The sequence below is a fragment of the Homo sapiens genome, chromosome 15 (genome assembly GCF_000001405.40).
Source record: "Homo sapiens chromosome 15, GRCh38.p14 Primary Assembly".
Taxonomy (NCBI): domain Eukaryota; kingdom Metazoa; phylum Chordata; class Mammalia; order Primates; family Hominidae; genus Homo; species Homo sapiens.
Window position 1 is genome coordinate 71,796,120 of NC_000015.10, and position 22,988 is coordinate 71,819,107.

A 22,988-nucleotide genomic window follows, 5' to 3' on the forward strand; every position below is an offset into this window, starting at 1 on the left:
AGGGTGTCAATTTTGGATCTTTCCTGCTTTCTCTTGTGGGCATTTAGTGCTATAAATTTCCCTCTACACACTGCTTTGAATGTGTCCCAGAGATTCTGGTATGTTGTGTCTTTGTTCTCGTTGGTTTCAAAGAACATCTTTATTTCTGCCTTCATTTCGTTATGTACCCAGTAGTCATTCAGGAGCAGATTGTTCAGTTTCCATGTAGTTGAGCAGTTTTGAGTGAGTTTCTTAATCCTGAGTTCTAGTTTGATTGCACTGTGGTCTGAGAGATAGTTTGTTATAATTTCTGATCTTTTACATTTGCTGAGGAGAGCTTTACTTCCAACTACGTGGTCAATTTTGGAATAGGTGTGGTGTGGTGCTGAAAAAAATGTATACTGTTGATTTGGGGTGGAGAGTTCTGTAGATGTCTATTAGGTCCACTTGGTGCAGAGCCGAGTTCAATTCCTGGGTATCCTTGTTGACTTTCTGTCTCATTGATCTGTCTAATGTTGACAGTGGGGTGTTAAAGTCTCCCATTATTAATGTGTGGGAGTCTAAGTCTCTTTGTAGTCACTCAGGACTTGCTTTATGAATCTGGGTGCTCCTGTATTGGGTGCATATATATTTAGGATAGTTAGCTCTTCTTGTTGAATTGATCCCTTTACCATTATGTAATGGCCTTCTTTGTCTCTTTTGATCTTTGTTGGTTTAAAGTCTGTTTTATCAGAGACTAGGATTGCAACCCCTGCCTTTTTTTGTTTTCCATTGGCTTGGTAGATCTTCCTCCATCCTTTTATTTTGAGCCTATGTGTGTCTCTGCACGTGAGATGGGTTTCCTGAATACAGCACACTGATGGGTCTTGACTCTTTATCCAATTTGCCAGTCTGTGTCTTGTAATTGGAGCATTTAGTCCATTTACATTTAAAGTTAATATTGTTATGTGTGAATTTGAACCTGTCATGATGATGTTAGCTGGTTATTTTGCCCATTAATTGATGCAGTTTCTTCATAGCATCGATGGTCTTTACATTTTGGCATGATTTTGCAGTGGCTGGTACTGGTTGTTCCTTTCCATGTTTAGTGCTTCCTTCAGGAGCTCTTTTAGGGCAGGCCTGGTGGTGACAAAATCTCTCAACATTTGCTTGTCTGTAAAGGATTTTATTTCTCCTTCACTTATGAAGCTTAGTTTGGCTGGATATGAAATTCTGGGTTGAAAATTCTTTTCTTTAAGAATATTGAATATTGGCCCCCACTCTCTTCTGGCTTGTAGAGTTTCTGCCGAGAGATCCGCTGTTAGTCTGATGGGCTTCCCTTTGTGGGTAACCCGACCTTTCTCTCTGGCTGCCCTTAACATTTTTTCCTTCATTTCAACTTTGGTGAATCTGACAATTATGTGTCTTGGAGTTGCTCTTCTCGAGGAGTATCTTTGTGGCGTTCTCTGTATTTCCTGAATCTGAATGTTGGCCTACCTTGCTAGATTGGGGAAGTTCTCCTGGATAATATCCTGCAGAGTGTTTTCCAACTTGGTTCCATTCTCCCCATCACTTTCAGGTACACCAATCAGACGTAGATTTGGTCTTTTCACATAGTCCCATATTTCTTGGAGGCTTTGTTCGTTTCTTTTTATTATTTTTTCTCTAAACTTCCCTTCTTGCTTCATTTCATTCATTTCATCTTCCATCGCTGATACCCTTTCTTCCAGTTGATCACATCGGCTCCTGAGGCTTCTGCATTCTTCACGTAGTTCTCGAGCCTTGGCTTTCAGCTCCATCAGCTCCTTTAAGCACTTCTCTGTATTGGTTATTCTAGTTATACATTCGTCTAAATTTTTTTCAGTTTTTAACTTCTTTGCCTTTGGTTTGAATTTCCTCCTGTAGCTCGTAGTTTGATCGTCTGAAGCCTTCTTCTCTCAACTCGTCAAAGTCATTCTCCGTCCAGCTTTGTTCCATTGCTGGTGAGGAACTGCGATCCTTTGGAGGAGGAGAGGTGCTCTGCTTTTTAGAGTTTCCAGTTTTTCTGCTCTGTTTTTTCCCCATCTTTTTGGTTTTATCTACTTTTGGTCTTTGATGATGGTGATCTCCAGATGCGTTTTTGGTGTGGATGTCCTTTCTGTTTGTTAGTTTTCCTTCTAACGACAGGACCCTCAGCTGCAGGTCTGTTGGAGTTTGCTAGAGGTCCACTCCAGACCCTGTTTGCCTGGGTATCAGCAGCGGTGTCTGCAGAACAGTGGTTTTTTGTGAACCGCGAATGCTGCTCTCTGATCGTTCTTCTGGAAGTTTTGTCTCAGAGGAGTACCCGGCCGTGTGAGGTGTCAGTCTGCCCCTGCTGGGGGGGTGCTTCCCAGTTAGGCTGCTCAGGGGGTCAGGGGTCAGGGACCCACTTGAGGAGGCAGTCTGCCCGTTCTCAGATCTCCAGCTGCGTGCTGGGAGAACCGCTGCTCTCTTCAAAGCTCCGATGGAAATGCAGAAATCACCCGTCTTCTGCGTCGCTCACACTGGGAGCTGTAGACCGGAGCTGTTACTATTCGGCCATCTTCCAATTATTTTCTTTTAAAGGTCGTCTGAGTGTTACTCGAGTGTGCACACACTGGAATAACGAATGGTGTGGAGCATGGGATAATTCAAAACAGGCTTTCTTGTGCTCCATCCCCAGTCACCCACTCAGGAAGGGCTGAACGTTCCTGGCTGCCACAAGGGTCAGGGAGGCCATGAAGGTAGCAAATAGCTAGTCAGGACCTGTCCAGGCCATTCGTGGTGGTCACCAGGCCTCCTCCATGCACAGGCCCTGACAGGATGGTCCAGCCAGGATTCAGGAATGTTCAGTTCATTTATGCTGGTGGTGAGCACACCGTCAGGGAACAGCAGGCAGGGCTGTGTCCAAAAAAGTTTTCTGGCTCTCAGGTTCCAGGCATACACTCACTCACTCTTTCTTTCTTTCACTCTTCCTTCCTTCCTTCCTTCTCTCCTTCCTTCCCTCTTTCCCTCCCTCCATCCCTTCCCTCCCTTTCTTCCCTGCCTCCCTTCCTCCCTCCCTTCCTTCCTTTTTTTGTTAGAGACAGAGTCTCGCTCCGTTGCCCAGGCTGGAGTGCAGCGGCACAATCTTGGCTCACTGCAACCTCTGCCTCCCAGATTCAAGCAATTCTGCCTCAGCCTCCTGAGTAACTGGGACTACAGGCATGCACCACCACACTCAGCTACTTTTTTGTATTTTAGTAGAGATGGGGTTTCACCATGTTTCCCAGGCTGGTCTCAAACTCCTGAGCTCAGGCAATCCACCCATCTCAGCCTCCAAAAGTGCTAAGACTATAGGTATGAGCCACTGTGCCCAGCCTCCCTCCCTCCCTTTTTTTTTTTTTTTTTTTTTTTTTGACAGGGCCTCGCTCTGTCACCCAGGCTGTAGTACAGTCACAGCTCACTGCAGCCTTGACCTCCCAGGTTCAAGCAATACTCCTGCCTCAGCCTCCCAAGTAGCTGAGACTACAGGTGTGCACCACCACATCAGGCTAACTAGTATTTTTTTTGTAGAGACAGGGTCTCACTTTGTTGCCCAGGGTGGTCTCAAACTCCTGAGCTCAAGCAATCACCTGCCTCAGCCTCCAAAAGTGCTGGGATTACAGGCATGAACCACCATGCCGAGCCATGCACTCTTTTTTTTTTTTTTTTTTTTTTTTTCGAGATGGAGTTTTGCTCTTGTCACCCAGGCTGGAGTGCAGAGGTGTGATCTTGTCTCACTGCAACCTCCACCTCCCGGGTTCAAGTGATTCTCCCACTTCAGCCTTCCATGTAGCTGGAATTACAGGCGCCCGCCACCCACGCTCAGCTAATTTTTGTATTTTTAGTAGAGATGGGGTTTTGCCATGTTGGCCAGGGTGGTCTCGAACTCCTGACCTCAGGTGATCTGCCAACCCTGGCCTCCCAAAGTGCTGGGATAACAGGCATGAGCCACCGTGCCCGGCCATGCACTCTTGATCATCACTCACGCTCTCTGCCAGGTGACCCCAGTCATCACCTCTGTACCACCTCCTCCAAGTACCTTTCCAGCTCCCCTGACTGGCAGGGCCATGAGAAGTCAACACCCCTCACTCCTCCATGTCACCCTGCCTCCATTCCTAGTGTCTGCTGCTTAAGACACATCCTTCCTGCCGGAGCCAAGTTTGCCTAATCCCGGTGCTTTCATACTTTCTTTACCTACCAGCAAAGTGTAACATGACAGAGGTTCCTAGCCAAGCACATGCACAGAATCTCATCTTTCTCTGGCGACACCCTTGTCCATAGTAGGTTTGCCAGGATTCACCTGACACTTGCTCCCAGGACTGACTCAGTAAATGCCCTTCCTGCTCACTGATCTCCAAATCCTGGGAATCTGGGCCTTGAGGCAATCACTTCTAGAATACAGGAAACCAAATTCTAGACAAAGCATCTGTCTCCAGCCATTTTCCAATCATCTCAACAGTTCCTGGCCAGGTGCAGTGGCTCATACCTGTAATCCCAGCACTTTGGGAAGCCGCGGCGGGCAGATCATGAGGTCAGGAGATCGAGACCATCCTGGCCAACACGGTGTAACCCTGTCTCTACTAAAAATACAAAAAAATAGCCAGGCGTGGTGGCAGGCGCCTGTAATCCCAGCTACTTGAGAGGCTGAGGCAGGAGAATTGCTTGAACCCGGGAGGTGGAGGTTACAGTGAGCAGAGATTGCACCATTGCACTCCAGCCTGGGCGACAGAGAGAGACTCTGTCTCAAAAAAAAAAAAAAAATCTCAACAGTTCCTATGGGAACATGGAAAACCCTCTGTAGGGGACACCGTATATTTTAATGCCAAGTACGTGATTCAGTAAAATAAATCCAGCATCCACTCCACTCAACATCTGTTTTCTGGGTGTTTGCGATATGTCAGGAGCTCTGACGCACATGAGCCAGTGTATCAGGACACAATGGGGTGATACTCCCAGGGGGCGGGGATGCCACCTCTGCGTCAGATAGTCTCCTGACTGTCGCTCAGCCCCTCTTTGGTGCTTTGATTTAAAAAAAAAAGTTGTGCATGAAACGCTATAGGGAACCGCTGGGGTTCTTTAGTAAGAGCTTAAATCCTCTGCCTGAAGATGCAAGTGCGTATTGGTGAAGTGTTTACTTTGCTACAATTCCAAAGAAGAAATTCTCAAGTCTCTTAGGCTACAAATTGGGGGATGGAACAGTGCAGAGCAGGCCAAACTTTTCTCATGGAGTAACACCTCCATCTTGTGGCCTTTCAGGGTATTCCAAGTGGATCCAACTACCTGCTATTTTGTGATTCTGGGTACAATAAATCAGATCTGAGAGAACTTGAGAGGTCCTCTGATTCGGTCCTCTGCCTTCACCCAGACGTGAAGCTCCACTATTAGCTCCATGATTTCCTCATAGTAACAGTCCAGAGAGGTGAAGAGACTTGGCCGAGCCCACCCAGCTAATACGCACGGTCTCATACCTGAGGCTCAATGCTACCCACTTGTCACTCTTTAGGAAGAGAAAAAAACTTCTTCAAACAAAATTTGACCAACTATGAAACAGATGAAAGCAGAGAGAGTCCCGGTAGAGACTGCAGAAGGACCCACCCTTCCCAGCACCTTCAGTCATCACGCCCTGGAAACCACTGTCTTGTGCCAGGGGGATGCTGCTTCTCTGGGTAATGGAACATCATTGTGGCAGCCTGGAAAGCCCCCTAGGACAATAGCATTCCCTTCCGAGTAGCTTATTGCTTCAATCAGTTTAGGTCCTGGCCAGGTAAATGCCTTTTATTAAAACACATTTTACACCTCTCATGGCAGAATAAACGGCCTCATAGGATAAGGGTGTGTGGCCCCGCGACTGCTGATGAGAAGTGAAGCCAGCTGGACTTCTGGGTCAGGTGGGGACTTGGAGAACTTTTTTGTCTTACAAGAGGATTGTAAAATGCCCCAATCAGCACACTATAAAATGGACCAATCAGTACTCTGTAAAATGGACCAATCAGCACACTGTAAAATGGACCAAATCAGTGCTCAGCAAAATGGACCAATCAGCAGCACATGGGCGGGGACAAATTAGGGAATAAAAGCTGGCCACCCCAGCCAGCCCTGGTAACCAGTGGGAGTCCAGTTTGGTGCAGTGGAGTCTTTGTTCATTCGCTTTTCACAGTAAATCTTGCTGCTGCTCACTCTTTGGGTCTGTGCCACCTTTAAGAGCTTTAACACTCACCGGGAAGGTCCGCAGCTTCATTCTTGAAGCCAGCGAGACAAAGAACCCACCGGAAAGAACCAACTCCGGGCCTCCGGACACCATTGGGACCTGCAATTGCTGGGACCCGGTCCCGGGAGGATGCCCGAGAGATGCCCACAGGGCCCCGGGCAGGGCAGAAAGCCGAAGCCGCCGCAGGCTGCCAGGACTAGGGCAAGCTTACGTCCACTCAGGCGGTCAACAAATAATTATCAGACTCCTTCTACGTGTCATGCCGTTGAACAAGATCGACAAGACCCTGGTCTCACAAAGCTTCTGTGCACATTGGAGGAGCCGGGTGACTGCAAAGAAAGGGCGTAAGATTGTTTCTGATAGGGCCTGGGATGTGAGGAGCGATGATAGAGTGCGTGCTCTCAGGAGAGACCTTGGAGCTGGTCTTGAAGTGTGAGGAGGAGTCGGTTGGAGAAAGAGGGAAAGAACAGGCCGAGCCGAGCCAGAACCGGGTATAGCCAGAAGCGCGAAGGAGAGAGCCAGCACTCGAGGTCAGAGGAAGCGCAAGGTGGCACCGGCCCCTCTCGCTGCGCTTTTTGTCCTTCCAGGAGGGGGCGCTGGTCCACCGACTGGCCCGGCAGTTCCCCAGTAGCACCGGGGGTTTCCTGCCGCGCGCGTCACCTGGTTCAGTTTAGAGCCTCCAAAGCTGCAAGGCAAGGCGAAGATGGGCAGTGGAGACAGAGTAGGGTGGGGAGGGTCCAAGCTGAGGAGCCTGTAGAGCGTCTAAAGTCATCAGTGGCACCTGTTGTTTCATTGTTCGTGTAGGCAGCTTGTATGTGTATACATATTTTAAACTTATTACCTAACATTTCAATCACAAAAGCAATTAGAGATAAAAGGTCCATGACACCCATGTACCCATCACCCATATCAATAACTATCACCTTCAGTCCTCAGTTCATCTACTCCCTCTTTTCATTCATTCGTTTATTAAAAAAAAACAACAACAAAAAAAAAAACAGTCTTTAAAAGCAAATCCAAGACATTGACTCACTTCTGTAAATACTTCAGAGTATATCTCTAGCAGGATTATTTTTTAATTAAACATATCCACAATACCATTGTCATAACAAACTAATAACCCCTTAATATATTCTAATTGTATATATTGTTTTTAAATATTTTATCTTCAAAATAATTCGACTTCCACAGAAGTTTTTGTTTTGTTTTTTGTTTGTTTGTTTCTGAGACAGAGTCTTGCTCTGTTGCCCAGGCTGGAGTGCAATGGCATGATTTTGGCTCACTGCAACCTCCGCCTCCTGGGTTAAAGTGATTCTCCTGCCTCAGCCTCCCGAGTAGCTGGGACTACAGGCGCCTGCTTATAGACAAGGATAATAATGACAATGCTTATCTGATTGTGTTGTCGTGAGGATTAAATGAGTTTACACATATAAACGCTTAGAACTGTGTCTGGCACATAAAATTTCTTAATAAATATTTTCCATTATTATTACAGCTCGTATTTTTTAAAAATTAACCCGTCTCTTTTAAAAAGACAAAAAAGCTTTATTTTATCTTGATTATAATTCTAGGCCAAGCACACTGACTTACGCCCTGTAATCCCAGCACTTTGGAGACCAACGCAGAAGGATCGCTTGAGCCCAGGGGTTCGAGACCAACCTGAGCAACATAGGGAGACCCCCATCTCTACAAAAAAATTAAAAATTAGCCGGGTGTGGTGGCACACACCTGTGGTCCCACCTACTCAGGAGGTTGAGGCAGAAGGATTGCTTGGGCCCAGAAGGTCGAGGCTGCAGTGAGCCATGATCACGCCACACTGCACCCCAGCCTGGGTGACAGACCGAAATCCTGTCTCAAAAAAAAAAAAAAGAAAAGAAAAGAAAATGAAAAAAGAATGCATACTCTGAGCCTGAGAGCCAGATAACTTTTTGGACACAGCCCTGACTGCTGTTCCTCCATGGTGTCCTCACCACCAGCATAAATGAACTGGTCAGTCAGCTAGTGTACCCTGGTGTGGTTGTGCCTGTTGTTAAACGTTTAAAAATAGTTCTATACTGGTTTTCAAATAGCTTCCTGCCCCAGCCTGCCCCCAGTGTTCTGGCCCCTCCCAGGGTCTCCAGATCTGCCCATGGCCCAGCAACTAAAGGGTTTACACCTGGTGCAGCAGGTGGACGGGCGGCCTCTGCACTGGGGGCTGCAGCTGTTCCAAGCAGCGGAGGCTCAGGCCAGAGCAGCCGCTAGAGATTTAGGTCCTCCTCTTGGGTGAAGAGGGAGAGAAAATGAAAGCATGGGGAGCTTCTCATTTTCACACATAAAGACTGAATTTCTTTATAAATATTTCCTATCATTATTAGTATAGGTAATATTGATTTCAAATTAGTCTCTTTTTTTAAAATACAAAGAACTGTATTTTATCCAGGTTAGAGCTGTAATACATGTGTATTATTAAACATTCAAATGAAACAGAAATATTTGCCTGTGGGGAGAATGTCTGCGGTGGCCTCTGGTGACAGCTCTGCAACAGAACTGAGACAGCCACCTCGCATGGTGCTTGGGAGTCAAGCCAAGCTAACCTGGAGGTCTTTCCTGTCAGTCATCTCGGGTACAGAGGAGGAAGAGGTGACCCAGGGTGGAGCAACAGATGGTGCATGTTCCAGACAGGCTGCTTTTTGTCTGCCTGTCCCAGGACAGGGCAGGGCCCCCGCCAGCCCTGCTTAGACCTTTAGAAGAGTTCAAGGGGAAAAAGACTTTACTAGTCAAGGGCTGGGAAAACTGTGCAGGGGAATATCTGATCATTTCTAAATGTTATCTTGAAAAGAAAAGAAAGAAGCTTTATTGAGAAACATTCCCGCTGGTGTCTGCCTCTCGGAGCCCTGCACCTTCCACTCCCTGCTCTAGAAAGAAAACCATTGATTCATTTAGGTCCTGCCAAGGAGACAAGCATCCCATGATCTTCAGCCAGAAATTCCCCTGGGCCACATGAAATCAAACTATCCATGTCTGTTTTGTAAGTGGCTTTGAAGTTGAGACATTGTGGACATATTTCCATGTAAATGAATATAGGAACACCACCAGCTGCAATGGCTGCATGGGATTCCACTGTACAGAGGGAGTAGAACTTATTTAGCCAGTTGTCTAGAAAATTGCTGCAGGGTACATCCATATAATTAAATCTTTGTAAAATTTTCCAAGGGATAGTTTCCTGGAGTGTGGATGGCTGAGGCCTCAGCTCCAGGGCCTGTGCACTCCCCACTAGCTATGCTTCAAAGAAGGTGAAGACACTTGGGGGTGGGGGGCAGGAATTCGGGGGGTGGGCAGGAATTTGTGGGGGTGGGTGACTGTTTAAGAAATAAATCCTGGGCCAGGCATGGTGACAGCACTTTGGGAAGCTGAGGCAGAAGGATCACTTGAGCCCAGGAGTTCGAGACCAGCCTGGGCAAGACAGGGAGACCCCATCTCTATGAAAAACTAAAAAGTTAGCCAGGCATGGTGGTGTGCACCTGTAGTCCCAGCTACTTGGAAGGCTGAGGCGAGAGGATCTCTTGAGCCCAGGAGACTGAGGCTGCAGTGAGCTGTGATCTCGCCACTGAACTCCAGCTTATGTGACAGAGCAAGACCCTGTCTCAAAAAGAGAAAGAGAGAAAAAAAGAAAAGAAGGAAAAGGAAGGAAGGAAAGAAAGAAAAAATAAATCCTGGGGCCAGGTGCAGTGGCTCACGCCTGTAATCCTAGCACTTTGGGAGGCCGAGGTGGGTGGATCACCTGAGGTCAGAAGTTCAAGACCAGCCTGGCCAAGATGGTGAAACCCCATCTCTACTAAAAATACAAAAATTAGCCGGGCATAGTGGCGGGCGCCTATAATCCCAGCTTCTCGGGACGCTGAGGCAGGAGAATTGCTTGAACCCAGGAGGCAGAGGTTGCAGTGAGCCAAGATCACCCCACTGCACTTCCAGCCTGGGCGACAGAGCAAGACTCCGTCTCAAAAAAAATAAAATAAGGAAAAAAGAGATCCTGGAAGATTTGTTCCCAGCACCCAGTATTGTGGCTGAGACATGCCCCAGACAAGAAGCCCAGAGAGCCGCTCCCCCTAGAGAGGCTAGAACAGGGGATTCCTTGCCAGGGCCCTGAGGATGCAGAGGGAGGTCAGTCCTGCTGCCCCTATCACGCCTTGTTATTCCACCCCCAACCGGCCCAGACCTCCTGGGAGTCAGAGGAAGTTGCTGACCTGTCCCCTGGGGGAATAATTGTATTAGTGATAAGGTGGCCTCTGGCAGCTTAGTCAGCAGATTCAGGGCTTTGGGCTGAGTAATCCTTTGGCGTCTGCCCCAGCAGCTGGTGATCACAGATCGGGGAGACCCCCCCAACCCCCAGGCCCTGCTGGGCTTTGGCTTCCATTCCCCCAGCACAGTGCATAGGGCACAGCTCTGGCTGGCCTGACCTGCCAAAGAACCCAGGGCCAGGCTCAGAGGGGATTTTGGCTGGCATCCACGTGATGGAGTGACAGAATACAGTCAAAATCAACAGCGTAAAAATGGGCCGGTCAAACACTGCAGGGGGCTTTCATTTAGATGGGACTGGGTTTCTTGTGTGGCCTGGCTTGTTTTGTTTTTGCCATTTTAGGTAATACATACCCACTACAGAATACAGGGAAATACAGACAAGGTTGAAAACAGATTCTCTGTCCATTAAGTGCCTTGGGATCCTCATCCCCAGCTAACCCGAAACTCTAAGCCTGTTCCCTGGAATCTTCCATCTGGATGGAGGAGAGAAAGTTGACCTGGAGTGAGGTTCAATGTAAGGACAAGATCTGCACCCGGAGAAGCTCTCTCTCGGAGAGCACAGGCGGCCTGAGGAGTCAAAACAGGTGGCCTGTGGAGTCAGCACAGGCAGCCTGGAGGAGGTGAGCCCTGGACAGGCCTTCAGGGATGGGAAGGGTCTGGGCAGAAGGAGCAGGAGGGCCAAAGCCAGCCCCGCTCAGCGGCCTCCCCTGCGTGTGCTGCCCCTGAGAGAAGGAAGCGCTCTCCTCCAGTAGCCCTGCCCCCGCTTCCTCCCTTCCATCTGCCCTTTCCGCTTCAGTTCACCTCCTTTAATCCCACCACAACCGCCCAATGGGACACCATCCTACTCATTCCAGAGAGCATGAAACTGAGAGGCAGAATAACTTCCCCAAGCCCACACAGCCAGGCTCTGAGAGGAGCGGTGCTGGCCCAAGCCTGCCCTTAAGCCCGGGCTGCAGGCCGGAGCAGCCCCTTCTCTCCTGCCGGCTGCCGCCCCCTCAAGCCTGCAGGTGTCTCTCCGGAGATGCTGGGCATGGGGCAGGGTTTGAGGTACACCCACCTCCACCTCTCTTCCTGGCTCTTTCTCCTCTGTAGCTCCCATTTTAAAAGGAACTGCATTCCTAACATATTTTTCTTTAAATATCTAAATTCGTTGGGGAAAAAAATCTTTCCTTAATGTTACCCTCCCTGCCACCCCTCAGCCCCGTCTCCTTCCCTCACAGCCACGCTCCCTCCCCACAACTAGGCCTCCTGAATCATGCTCCCTCCCAGGGCACCAGCTCCTCCGGCTGCTGCTGAAACCCAATGAGGCAGCTGCCCCTCCTGGGAGGGTGTCCTGGTGCAAAGCTGAGTGCAGTGCCAAGCACAGTTTGAAATCCTCATCTGCATCCCCAGCCTCCTCCACCACTCACTAGCTGTGTGGCCTGAAGCAAATTACTTAACTTCTCTGACTCTGTTTTTCCTCACCCATGAGTTGAGGCTAGTAAGGACAGCTCCTTTACAAGGCTGCTGTGAGGTTTGAAGGATCTGTGTAAGAACTTGGCATGCTTCCTTTCTGCATGACACGGAAGGAACACTTGCATGGTGACACCACCATTGCTGATTCCTCCCCGTCCCTGGCTCCCGCGACAGCGCAGCGCTGTCCTGAGTTTCCGTCTTGTCTCTGATGTGCCTTTGTCATCAGCTTGTCCTTGGCTCCAGCCACCAGAGTCTGAGACCCTTGAGCTCAGCCTTAGGCATTTTCAAACCTGCACGCATTTGCTCCAGGCGGCCCCCCAGTCCTGGGGTTACTACCTCTGTGCAGATAAATTGGGGGTGGTTTGGTCTGGGGCATGTGGAGCTGGACTCCACGGTGGAACTGATATGAAGTGGCCCTGGAAGCCGTGAGTGTGTGTGAAACTGCCCGAGGAGAGAGCGGGAAGGGCTGCTGGGACCAGTCTCTGGGTACATGGAGGTGATGACAAGTTCAAGGCAAAGACCCGTGTTCCAGAAGAGATGGGAAAGAGCGGCTTCGGGAAGGAGGGAGTGGCCAGTCAAATCCATGGAGGATGGCCTCAGCTTCAGTCTTAGGTGGAGCTGGAGACCTTGTCCTGAGGGGCTTTTTGGCAGAGGAGGCAGGGAGGGGTGAGGACGGAGGAGAGGAGAACAGGTGAGAGCACCCAGCCCGGTGGCCTCGATCTTCTGAGGCCCCAGAAAGCGGATTACCCTGCAAAGCCCCTCGAGCTGACTTCCCAAATCCCTAATTGTGCTTCTCTGTCACAGGGAGGGTTAACCCCACTTACATAAGGGCCAGGCCCCGCCCCCTGTCCCCTTAACTCCATGATCCTTCTGGAAGCTTCACGCTCCGCCCGCTTCCCCTTGGGGTCTAAGGCTGGACCAACCCCACCCCAGCTCATCCTGAGGTGAGCTCTGGTCTGCTGGGGACAAGTGGTCCCCTCCAGGACAACATGGGCTTTCAGCTCTGTCCCGGGCAGGGAGGGGGCTGGCAAGTGGGCCTGGGGGTGGAGGAGCAGGCAAGAAAAGGCTGCTGAGTGTGACCTTCTCAGTAACCCCAAGAATATAACAATATCAGCTGCACACACCATTTATTAGGTTCTTACTGAGTACCAGGCTCTGAAACACATTTCCTGAACCATTGTCTTTAGTTCCCCAACTACACCATAGGACAGGTGCTCTTCTCATCCTGTTTTACAGGTGAGGAACTGAAGTTTGGACAGATTGAGTCACTTTCTCAGGGACACATGGCTGGCCGGTGATGGAGAAGGTACTTGAACCTGGGTCTGCCTCTGCTCTCTCCACACTCCCTTGCGGGGGCCCGGGGCTTACTATAAGGCAAGGATGTAAGACAAGTTCCTCCTTCCCTCTCCTTCCCACAGGAGCAGAGGCATCGCTGGGCTGGAGGTGGGAAGGATGGACCTGGGAGCAGCGCAGGGGGCTGGTGTGGCAAGAGGCAGGCGGAGCTGTGAGGCCGAGTTCGGGGGGAAGGGGAGGACTCCTGAGAGCCCGTGGCCAGGCTCAAGGTGGCTGTGTCCTCACTGGCTCTAGTCCTGCAGGCCTGGCTCTCCAGAGGAGCCTGCCAGCTCCTCTTCTGCCCCCTCACAGGCCTGAAGGAGACCCTCCAGATGGGGATCCAGGCCTCTTTCCTCCAGGCCAGCCTCAGACCCTACGGGGGACGGTTCTGGGAACGTCCTCTGTGCCAGGTGTCTGGGGACTGCTAGCCTTCTGGGGGGGCTGGATCCTCAAATCGTGAGCCCCAAGCAGTCCCTTTCCAAGGGATTGGAGTGAGAACCTCGTGGGGCAGAGCCAGATCTACCTAGGACCCAAGGGGAGTGTCTCAGGCAGGACCCCCACAGGCAAAGACACACACACTGGCCACACACTTGCCTTCGGATGTGTGCCAAGCAGCTCAAAAGGATTTAAAGTCCAGCCAGGTGGGGTGGCTCACACCTGTAATCCCAGCACTTTGGGAGGCTGAGGTGGGCAGATCACTTGAGGTCATGAGTTCGAGACCAGCCTGGCCAACATGGCAAAACCCCATCTCTACTACAAATACAAAAAAAATTAGCCGAGCGTGGTGGCAGGTGCCTGTAATCCCACCTGATTGGGAGGCTGAGGCAGGATAATCGCTTGAACCCAGGAGGCAGAGGCTGCAGTGAGCCGAGACCATGCTACTGCACTCCAGCCTGGGTGGCACAGCGAGACTCCGTATCAAAACAAAGAAAAAGATTTAAAGTCCTTGGGAGAGGTGGAGTCCACACCTCTCTTCAAGATGTGGCATGAAATGGTGAACAGCTGAGCACACAGGGCAGGAGGGCCCCGGGGGACCTTGGGCAGCCCGGGAACCAGCATGGGGTAGCAGGACTGACCGGCTCCCGGGGCACCTTGGTAATGCTGCAGGTGTGGCCAGTTGATCCCCTGTGGAGACAGTAAAGATTAAGAGGATCATAAACTGCGTCCAGCGGCTGCCCCGGGAGAAATCTCCTCAAGCCAGAGCCTGTGCTGTGAGGGGCTTCGGGACCTTGGGGCAGCTCCTGAGTTCAGACAGAGTTCAGGAAGGGAGACAGGGGCACAGAGAGACAGAGGTTCATGGACTGAGGCAAAGGCTGGGCCAGGCTCAGCAACCCAGGCCTCCCGCAGGCAGGCAGAGGCTGCCCTGTAACCCATGGAGACCAGACCAACAGCTCTGATGAGCTCCACAGTGGCTGCAGCTGCGCCTGCAGCTGGGGCTGCCTCCAGGAAGGAGTCTCCAGGCAGATGGGGCCTGGGGGAGGATCCCACAGGTATGGCTTCTCCTGGAGGTAGGGTTGGGTCTGGGCCCTTGGGGAGCAGGGTAAGGGCCAGAGGTTCGCAGGGACCATGGAAGGAGCCAGAACAACTCAGACCCAGCCCCGCCGGCTGTGGGCAAGGGTGGGGTAGCCTGTGGGTAAACCCAGAATCCTAGAAACACGGTGGGGCGGGGATGGGGGTTGGGGGCGGGCAGGCTGCAGAGCCAGGACAGGACAGCCTAGCCGATGGGGAAGGAAAGAACAGAGAAGCGCCCTTAGGGCTTAACAGCACAGAGGTCCCTAGTGGCGTTGACAAGAATGTTTCTGTGGGATGATGGAGCCTGAAGCCACCCACAGAGAAGGGATGGGAGCTGGGAAAGTGGAGCTAGGGCTCGGACTCTTGCTGAAAATTGGCCATTGAGGGAGGAGAGAGGGCAAGGAATGGGGGTGGGGGCTGGGGTGTGGATGCACAGTGAGGGAGACACTTCTCCAGATGGAAGAGTCACGCGTGGGTTCGTTCAAATGCGGGTGAGCGGGGCCTGAGGACTGGGAAAGGGACCCGAGGGAAGGAGGGGAGCGTGCAGCCCTGCCCCGGCCCAGCCCTGCCCTGGCCCAGCCCTGCCCCCTGCCCCTCAGGCGTGAGCCCCTCGCTCCAGTGCCGCGTGTGCGGAGACAGCAGCAGCGGGAAGCACTATGGCATCTATGCCTGCAACGGCTGCAGCGGCTTCTTCAAGAGGAGCGTACGGCGGAGGCTCATCTACAGGTGAGTGCGGTGGGCCCTGCTGGGCGTCTGCCCCTGAGGGGTTCTGGAGGGGTGAGGGGGTGCTCAGGGGAAGAGGGGCTTGGGCAAAAATGTCCAAGCCCATGGCTCAGGGCATGGGAGGGACACTGACCCCTGGGGTCTCCTCTTCACCTGCAGGTGCCAGGTGGGGGCAGGGATGTGCCCCGTGGACAAGGCCCACCGCAACCAGTGCCAGGCCTGCCGGCTGAAGAAGTGCCTGCAGGCGGGGATGAACCAGGACGGTGAGGCGGGGGCTGGCCCGGGGGGAGGTGACAAGAAATGGGCAGCGGGACTGGCGTGTCGTCCTGACCCTTCCTGCCTCCCCAGCCGTGCAGAACGAGCGCCAGCCGCGAAGCACAGCCCAGGTCCACCTGGACAGCATGGAGTCCAACACTGAGTCCCGGCCGGAGTCCCTGGTGGCTCCCCCGGCCCCGGCAGGGCGCAGCCCACGGGGCCCCACACCCATGTCTGCAGCCAGAGCCCTGGGCCACCACTTCATGGCCAGCCTTATAACAGCTGAAACCTGTGCTAAGCTGGAGCCAGAGGATGGTGAGTGGGAGAGCAGCTGAGGGCACAGCAGGGCTTGGCTTCCCGGGTCACAGCAGGGCTGCAGCGCCTTGCCTTGATCCTCCCTCCCCCGGGGCTCCAAGTACTCCCTGCCACCTCCCGAGAAGCAGGCGCTAAGATCACAACCTCCTCCTCCAACAGCTGATGAGAATATTGATGTCACCAGCAATGACCCTGAGTTCCCCTCCTCTCCATACTCCTCTTCCTCCCCCTGCGGCCTGGACAGCATCCATGAGACCTCGGCTCGCCTACTCTTCATGGCCGTCAAGTGGGCCAAGAACCTGCCTGTGTTCTCCAGCCTGCCCTTCCGGGATCAGGTACCTACCGGCCTGCCTGCTGGGGAGCTAGGCTGGGCTGGGGTCAGGCGGCCCACTCGAGTCAACCAGACAGGGCACACACATCCCCACGCCAGTATGAATGCACACAGCTTGGATGGTGATGGCTGGGGACACACATACCTCTGATTCAGCGATGGCTGGGGTGCATCTCAGGGATGGTGACGGTGGGGGTGCATGCATCTCTGGCACAGGGATGATGGTCGGGGTGCACACCTAGGAGATGATGATGGCTAGGGACCTACAGGGCCCAGGGTCTTCTTAAGTTCTGGAAGACCCTCAGGCCCTGCAGACATTCTGTGGGTAACAAGTGACCTGCACACCCTGAACAGGCTGAGTGGCTGACTCTAGGCCCCCTTGGAGCACAAGTGCCTACGACTTCAGGGCTTGCATTTTAGTTCAATCTCTCCAGCTCTGGGCCATCCCTCTCGGCTTCTAATGGGCAAGCAGATCTTTCAGGAAAACCAGGAGGAGAGGCATGAGGAGGGTTTGAGGCCCTCAGCCAGTCTGTGTGCTGGGGTGGAGCAACTCAGAAGAGTCAGGCCACACCACTTGAATACACTCAACTTAGGACACTCATGAGGCATGTCTCTGAGGCTGCCCAACTTCCAATGGCTCTGGGCGTTCCTAAATGTCCCAGCTGCAGCTCTGGATGGAACCCAGTGTCTCAGATGATAGGCAGCTGAGCCGGATGGTGCCAAATCCCAGAGCTCTGAGCCTCTGGCTGATGTCAGGAGAGCATTCTCGGGTCCCAGGACAGCACTTCCATTCCTTGGGTGCCTGAGATGGTGGCAGAGGCTCCAGACTGAGCCAGAGAAGCTGTGTGTCTGCCATAACAGGCACCCCTGTCTGAGCACAGGTGATCCTGCTGGAAGAGGCGTGGAGTGAACTCTTTCTCCTCGGGGCCATCCAGTGGTCTCTGCCTCTGGACAGCTGTCCTCTGCTGGCACCGCCCGAGGCCTCTGCTGCCGGTGGTGCCCAGGGCCGGCTCACGCTGGCCAGCATGGAGACGCGTGTCCTGCAGGAAACTATCTCTCGGTTCCGGGCATTGGCGGTGGACCCCACGGAGTTTGCCTGCATGAAGGCCTTGGTCCTCTTCAAGCCAGGTAACTGAGTCTCTGCCCAAACCTTGAGTGGGAATTCTGGTGACTTCCATCTGCCTCTCACTCTCCCTCCACTACCCCCATGTGTGCAGATGTGTGTAGGCCTCTATCCTGGGGGGTGGGAGGAGAGTGGTGAGGCTGGACTCCCTTCTCCTTGGGGCCACTCCTGGTTGACTGTGAGGGGACAGGGCAGGCTGGGAGCCCCTGGGAGACCCTGAGCCCCAGCCGGAGCCCCTGGTGGCTCCTCTGGGCCTGGCAGAGCCCACCCCACAGGGCCCCAGGTCCATGTCTGCAGCCAGAACCCTGGGCCACCACTTCATGGCCAGCCTTATAACAGCCGTAAACCTGTGCTAAGCTCACTGGTGCTGCTTCTCCCCAGAGACGCGGGGCCTGAAGGATCCTGAGCACGTAGAGGCCTTGCAGGACCAGTCCCAAGTGATGCTGAGCCAGCACAGCAAGGCCCACCACCCCAGCCAGCCCGTGAGGTGACCTGAGCATGCGCCCACCCACTCATCTGTCCCTGACCTCTAACCTTTCTCTGCCTCTCCCACACTCTCCCAGAGCTCACTGATTAGACAGCACAAGGGTCTCAGTTCAACAGCATACAGCCAACATCTATGGTGTCCCAGGCACAGTGCCAGGCCCCGGGAGTGGGGACCAAGATGTACATAAGACAAAGCTACTGCCTTCTAGAGACAACCGGCAGTGACCTCACTGAAGACAAAAACTGCCCTAGCCAGGTACTGAGGGTTGCATGAATCTGCAGGAGACAGAGATCCCCTTGCATGGGAAACATAAAGCAGAATTGGGAGGGACTTTGTGGAGACAGGGCTGGACTTGAAAGGAAGAAGAAGTCTAAAAGAAAACATCATTTGCAAAGGGAGAGAGGGGCAAGCATGATATGTTGTTAGAACAGGAGCCCACTTTGAAGGTATAACAGGTTCCTGCCAGTGAGAAATGGGGAGAATAAGCCAGAAAAGTACCCTAGGACCAGCCCGTTCAGGACTTTGAATGCCAGCCAAAGGCCACGTCTGACTTGGGAGGCAGAGGGCAGCTACTGCAGGTTTCCGAGCAGAGGGTCATACACAGGGCTGGACCTCACGCAGACTGGCATGGCCATGGGTCCAGAGGATACTACTGGGAAGGGGATGGCAGCTACTGCCACCTTCCAGATGGTTCCATGGAGTTCTGATCTTTGGGCATGGCCAGGGGAAGCAGAAGGGAGACTCTAGGAGTTGAAATGGGTCAGACCCGGTGTTTGGGTGAAGGTAAGGAATGAGGGAAGAGGAGCTCTTTGGGAGAAGACATTGTTAAAAATATAAAAAGGAAAGCCAGGAGGAAAGACGGTTTTGAGGGAAGATGATAAGGTGTTTTGTAGGTGCACTGAGCATCCTGTAGAGATGCCAAGCACATGGATGGCCCTGGCTAGGTTTGGGGGAGAGTTGCTGCAGGCTGAGTGTGGCTGCGCGAGGGTGGGGCAGGAGCCGGTGCTCTGGGACTACGCTGTTTGGCCCAGCACAGGCAGATGTCATGGAGCCTCAGCAAGGTTGGAACATTTGGCCTTCAGGCATCTACTGGCTATTTTAGACCATGTTATCTGCAATCTTTGGGGCTCCCGGCAGTTTCTTTCTGAAGAAGCAAGCTAATATGGGCATCCTTGCATCACCTCTAATCCAAGAAATGATTACAAGGAGAAAAGGTAATTTCCTTTTAAGAAAAGCCACAGTATACAAAGTATATGCCATATAGCACAGGAAGATTTGTGCTGCTTATGAGCATAGGGAGAACGCTGCTACTACTAAGACTTGACTTAGCATCTGAAGAGTGGGATTCAGAGACATTCAGAAACCAGCAGCCTTTCTCTGCCAAGTTTCTGTTGGAACCAACTCCCAGAGATGTCCTGGCATATTGGTTATGCGTCAAATTTCAAAATGCTGATTAAGATTTCCTATGTCCCTTTTATAGCGGTTCATTGCCTACTACAAGGGAATTGAGCATGAAGATAGTGGTTTGGGGTTCTCTAATCCAGCATATTATTTCAGTTTTTAAAAACTGCAACACCCAGGAAGAAACACAATTACCATCGCCCCCTGATATGCACACAGACACCAAAGCGAAGTTCCACGAAGTAATTCCTACCCTTAGCTTTTACAATTTACCTGATGTTTCTCTTTTCTTTTTTTGAAAAGGCTGATTGTGACCCCCTGAATTTAATTTCAGACCCACTAGGTGAGGCAATACCTGCAGTTTGGAAAAAACATTCTTTAACTGACTTTATAGTTATTTCTTCTTCCTCCCACTCTAATTTAGATCAGAAAAACAGAAGCAGGGAAGGCAGATGGGAGGGGTATACGACTTGCTCAGTGCTGCTCACTTGGCACTAGCAAGAGAAAGGAAGGCCTTAGGTTGGCAAAGCAAGTCCAGCAGATCACTGAGTGGTGGGGAAGTCTTCCCCGAAATTCACGGTGAGAGGAGCATGGGACTGCCCAATGTGGAGTAGCCTCCTTGATGCTGGGTGTTGACCCTGGCCATCAGACCTACCCAGGGAAGGTTTAGTTCCCCCATCTGTCTCTTGGGGCTTCACCATCCGTCTTTTGTGTTGCGGACTCCTGTCTTAGCAAATACTTTTTTTTTTTTTTTTTTTTTGAGACGGAGTCTCTCTCTGTCACCCAGGCTGGAGCGCAGTGGCGTGATCTCGGTTCACTGCAAGCTCCACCTCCTGGGTTCACGCCATTCTCCTGCCTCAGCCTCCCGAGTAGCTGGGACTACAGGCGCCCACCACCACGCCCGGCTAATTTTTTGTATTTTTAGTAGAGACGGGGTTTCACCGCATTAGCCAGGATGGTCTCGATCTCCTGACCTCGTGTTCCGCCCGCCTCGGCCTCCCAAAGTGCTGGGATTACAGGCGTGAGCCACCACGCTCAGCCAGCAAATAGTTCTTATTTAAAACAATAAATATTTTTTTCAATGACTATCTCAGTCACCAAAATTATCCTTCAACTTCAGGACATTTTCAGTAATGGCTATCATCATCCTAGGTGGTATACAGACAGGAATTTGTATTCTTACAAACAATTCTTATCTACTAAAAACTAATCATATAATTATAATACTTATATATGAGATTAATAATAATATTTTCATATACAGGTGCTCCTTGACTTATGATGGGGTTACATCTGGATAAACCCATTGTTAAGTTGAAGCTACTGTAAGTTGAAGATGAATTTTCATACATAACCCATCTTAAGTCAAGGAGCATACTGAATGCTTATCACTTTCACACCATGATAAAGTCGAACCATCTGTATAGAGTTAATATAAACTTCACTTTATAATCTTTACATATAATAAACAATATTTACTCATTATTTTCATTGCACTCCTAAACTAAATAGAGGGTGGCGGCTCACAATGGGTCGAGGTAGGTGGAGGCAACTCCTCTGGTTAATGCGGCTTTTCTTTTTTCTTTTTTTTTTTTTTTGAGACGGAGTCTTGCTCTGTAGCCGAGGCTGGAGTGCAGTAGCGGGATCTCGGCTCACTGTAAGCTCCGCCTCCCGGGTTCATGCCATTCTCCTGCCTCAGCCTCCCGAGTAGCTGGGACTACAGGTGCCCGCCACCACGCCCGGCTAATTTTTTGTATATTTAGTAGAGACGGGGTTTCACCATGTTAGCCAGGATGGTCTCGATCTCCTGACCTTGTGATCCGCCCGCCTCAGCCTCCCAAAGTGCTGGGATTACGGGCGTGAGCCACCACGCCTGGCCTGAATGTGGCTTTTCCTCGAAATTCCTCCTGACCCACTCTGGGGACCTCATCTCTCCTCTCCTTCCTCCCCTCCCTTTCCTGGGAGGGCACCGCCCCAGGGACTAGTGCTCAGAAGCTGGTCGTAAAACTGATGGCGTCCTCTCTCCTGTTCAGGTTTGGGAAATTGCTCCTGCTCCTCCCGTCTTTGAGGTTTATCACTGCGGAACGCATCGAGCTCCTCTTTTTCCGCAAGACCATAGGGAATACTCCAATGGAGAAGCTCCTTTGTGATATGTTCAAAAACTAGTGGGGGTGGAGGTGAAATGTTTCCAAGCACTCTGGAAAACAATCTACTGAAACGAAACATTTGCCTACTCTTTGCCCCAGCAATTCCTCGTAGGTGTGTGTACCCAGCAGAAATGCCCACCGAAAGATATTGTAAGAATATTCATAGCAGCTTTATTCATAATAGCCCCAAACTGTATATTGATGGTAGGATGAATTAACAAGTTGTGGTATATTCATATAATGAAAAATAATTTAAAAAGAATGAATTACGGATACATGTGGCAACACAGGTAAACTTCACAGACATAAAAGTTGAATGAAAGAAGCCAGGCCGAAGTTCCATTTATGCAGAGTTCAGGAACAGGCAAGACTAATTGACAATAATAGAAGTTGGAATAGTGGTTACTTCTGGGTGGTGGGGGATTGATACAGAGGGGGCTCATGGGAGCCCTCTGGTGTACCAGAAATGTTGATTTTGATCTGGGCAGTGGTTTCACAAATGTATTCATACGTAATAATTCATTGAGCTGTGCACTTTATTTTGTTAGACCTCAATAAAAAAGTAAAAAAAAAAAACAAAAAAAACCAGAAAAATGAGTGTGGTCAAGGCTCTCCCTTTGGGGACACTGAAGGAATGAGCGCAAGGTCTTTGAGTTCCATCTGGGTTCCACTCCAAGTCAGAGACCAGGCGCAATGAATTCAAGCCCAGTGGAAAATCTCCCATAGAATTCAACCACCCAGCTTCTCTCCAGATGGCATCCCATCATCCGCAGCATCTCTCAACCTTTATCTCCTATCTCCTGCCTCATCTCCTTCCTAAGTAAAGAACACCTTCCAACTCAACATAAGGCAGCTACAGGTACGTTTTGTGAAAGGGACTCTTCATCACTTCTCAGGTCCTTATGGAAAGATACAGCTCAGACAAACTTCATCATTTTCTTTTTCTCTTTTTTCTTTTTTTGAGACTGAGTTTTGCTCTTGTTGCACAGGTTGGAGTGCAATGGCGCAATCTTGGCTCACGACAACCTCCGCCTCCCGGGTATAAGTGATTCTCCTGCCTCGGCCTCCCGAGTAGCTGAGATTACAGGTATGCACCACCATACCCAGCTAATTTTGTATTTTCAGTAGAGACGGGGTTTCTCCATGTTGGCCAGGCTGGTCTAGAGCTCCCGACCTCAGGTGATCCACCCACCTTGGCCTCCCAAAGTGCTGGGATTACAGGTGTGAACCTAATCCTTTTTGAAGATAGACCCAGATGACTGTGAAAATAATATTTTAACATGTTAACATAGATCAGGCAATGTATATATTAATAGCAGGCAGTGAGCCGGGCACTTTTTAAATTGCCATTTAATCCGCAGATTAACTCTGAGGGAAGAGCCAATTTTCTCCATTTATAAGTGAAAAAACTGATGCTTAGAGAGGACTCAAACCTTGGTGTG

The 22,988-nt window shown here is 51.1% G+C and overlaps 1 protein-coding gene across 2 annotated transcripts, besides 2 other annotated features; it reads left to right on the forward strand.

Annotated features, from left to right (window-relative positions):
* Positions 6,631-6,925: a silencer, noted in NCBI's record as "tiled region #1602; K562 Repressive non-DNase unmatched - State 12:CtcfO". NCBI's record gives its function as "represses a minimal TATA promoter and a strong SV40 promoter by Sharpr-MPRA in K562 cells {active_cell/tissue: K562}" and the evidence as "EXISTENCE:reporter gene assay evidence [ECO:0000049][PMID:27701403]".
* Positions 8,646-8,715: an enhancer, noted in NCBI's record as "active region_9706". NCBI's record gives its function as "activates an Ori minimal core promoter by ATAC-STARR-seq in GM12878 lymphoblastoid cells {active_cell/tissue: GM12878}" and the evidence as "EXISTENCE:reporter gene assay evidence [ECO:0000049][PMID:35858748]".
* On the forward strand, positions 14,435-22,134 carry NR2E3 (nuclear receptor subfamily 2 group E member 3). 2 transcript variants are annotated; one of them, NM_014249.4, is made up of 8 exons: positions 14,435-14,742; positions 15,364-15,490; positions 15,647-15,750; positions 15,836-16,057; positions 16,217-16,392; positions 17,270-17,516; positions 17,893-17,998; positions 21,433-22,134. In NM_014249.4, exons 1-8 carry the CDS (start codon positions 14,625-14,627, stop codon positions 21,563-21,565), a joined length of 1,233 nt encoding a protein of 410 aa, NP_055064.1. In that variant the 5' UTR covers positions 14,435-14,624; the 3' UTR covers positions 21,566-22,134. The 2 variants fall into 2 exon arrangements, with proteins under 2 accessions (NP_055064.1, NP_057430.1); NM_016346.4 differs by lacking the exon at positions 21,433-22,134 and having other exon boundaries at positions 17,893-18,810.